The following is a 2,681-nucleotide window of genomic DNA, read 5'->3' as shown; positions in this document are numbered from 1 at the left end:
AGTTTTCATTTGAAGATATTTCCTTTTCCAACATAGGCCTCAAAGCGCTCCAAATGAACACTTGCAGATTCCACAAAAAGTGTGTTTCAAAACTGCTCTATTAAAACAAGTATTCAAATCTGTGAGTTGAATGCACACATCACAAAGCAGTTTTTGGGAATGCTTCAGTCTAGTTTTTATGTGTAGATATTCCCGTTTCCAACGAAGGCCTCATATATCTGAAATTATCCACTAGCAGATTCTGCAAAAGGAGTGTTTCAAAACTGCTCTATCAAAAGAAAAGTTCAACTGTGTTACTTGAATTCACACATCTCAAAGAAGTTTCTGAGAATGCTTCTGTCTAGCTTTTATGTGAAGATATTTCCTATTCCACCATAGGCCTCAAAGCGCTCCAAATGAACACTTGCAGATTCTACAAAAAGAGCATTTCAAACCTGGTCTATCAAAAGAAAGGTTCAACTCTGTTAGCTGAATTCGCACATCACAAATAAGTTCCTGAGAATGCTTCTGTCTGGTTTTTATGTGAAGATATTTCATTTTCCAACACAGGCCTCAAATCGCTCCAAATATGCACTAGCAGATTCTACAAAGAGACTGATAGAACACTGCTCTCACAAAAGAAGTTTCAACTCTGTGAGTTGAATGCACACATCACACAGAAGTTTCTGAGAATGCTTCTGTCTAGTTTTTATGTGAAGATACCCGTTTCCTACGTATTCCTCAAAGAGTTCAAAATATCCAAAAGCAGATTCTACAAAAGGAGTGTTTCAATACTGCTCTATCAAAAGACAGGTTGAACTCTGTTAGTTGAATGCACACATCTCAAAAAGTTCCTGAGAATGCTTCTGTCTAGTTTGTATGTGAAGATATCCCCGTTTCCAACGAAGGCCTCAAAGAGTTCCAAATATCCACAAGCAGATTCTACCAAAGGAGTGATTGAAAACTGTTCTATCAAAAGAAAGGTTCAACTCTGTGAATTGAACACATACATCACAAAGATATTTCTGAGAATGCTTCTGTCTAGTGTTTATGTGAAGCTATTTCCTTTTCCACCATAGGCCTCAAAGTATGCCAAATGGACCCTTGCATATTCTACAAAAAGAGTGTTTCAAAACTGCTCTATCAAAGGAAAGGTTCAACTCTGTTAGATGAATGCAAACACCAAAAAGAGGTTCCTGAGAATGTTTCTATATAGTTTTTATGTTAAAATATTTCCTTTTCCACCATGGGACTCAAATTGCCCCAAATATCCACGTTCAGATTCTACAAAAAGAGTGTTTCAAAACTGCTCTCATAAAAGGAAGGCTCAACTCTCTGTGTTGAATACTCACATCACAAAGCAGTCTGTGAGAAAGCTTCTGTCTAGCTTTTATGTGAAGATATTTCCTTTTCCACCATAGGCCTCAATTCACTCAAAAAAGCCACTTGCAGATACCTAACAGAGAGTGTTTCAAGTCTGCTCTCACAAAAGGAAGGTTCAACTCTGTGAGTTGAATGCACACATCACAAAGCAGTATCTGATAATGCTTCTGTCTACTTTGTATGTGAAGATATTCCCTTTAAAACGAATTCCTCAAAGAGCTCCAAATAACCACAAGCAGATTCTACAAAAGGAGTGTTTCAAAACTGCTCTATCATGAGTTGAATGCACACATCACAAAAAAATTTCTGAGAATGTTTCTGTCTAATTTTTATGTGAAGACATTTCCTTTTCCACCATAGGCCTCAAAGCGCTCAAAATGAACACTCGCAGGTTATACAGAAAGAAAGTTTCAAATCTGCTCTATCAAAAGAACCGTTCAACACTGTGAGTTGAATGCACACATCACAAAGAACTTTCTGAGAATGCTTCTGTCTAGTTTTTATGTGAAAATACCCGTTTCCAAGGTATTCCTCAAAAAGTTCCAAATATTCACAAGCAGATTCTACAAAAGGAGTCTTTCTAAACTGCTCTATCAAAAGACAGGTTCAACTCTTTTAGTTGAATGCACACATCTCAAAGAAGTTCCTGAGAATGCTTCTGTCTAGTATTTATGTGAACATATTTCCTTTTCCACCATGGGCCCCAAGTTGCGCAAAATGAACACTTGCAGATCCTATAAAAGGAGGGCTACAAAACTGCTCTATCAAAAGAAAGATTCCACTCCGAGAGTTGAGTGCATACATCACAAAGAAGTTTCTGAGAATACTTCTGTCTAGCTTTTATGTGAAGATATTTCCCTTTCCACAATAGGCCTCAAAATGCTCAAAGTGAACACCTGCAGATACGATAAAATGAGTGTTTCAAAACTGCTCTATCAAAAGAAAGGTTAAGCTCTGTGAGTTGAATGCACACATCACAAAGAACTTTCTGAGAATGCTTTTGTCTAGTTTTTTTTGAAGCTCCCCGTTTCCAAAGTATTCCTCAAAGAGTTCAAAATGTCCACAAGCAGATTCTACAAAGGGAGTGATTCAATACTGCTCTATCAAAAGACAGGTTCAACTCTGTTAGTTGAATGCACACATCTCAAAGTAGTTCCTGAGAATGCTTCTGGCTAGTTTTTATGTGAAGATATTTCCTTTTCCACCACAGGACTCAAATCGCTCCAAATATCCACCTGCAGATTCTACAAAAAGACTGTTTCAAAACTGCTCTCTCAAAAGGAAGGTTCAACTCTCTGAGTTGAATGCACACATCACAA

The sequence above is a fragment of the Homo sapiens genome, chromosome 12 (genome assembly GCF_000001405.40).
Source record: "Homo sapiens chromosome 12, GRCh38.p14 Primary Assembly".
NCBI classification, from domain to species: Eukaryota; Metazoa; Chordata; class Mammalia; order Primates; family Hominidae; genus Homo; species Homo sapiens.
This window is presented reverse-complemented; position numbering follows the sequence as displayed.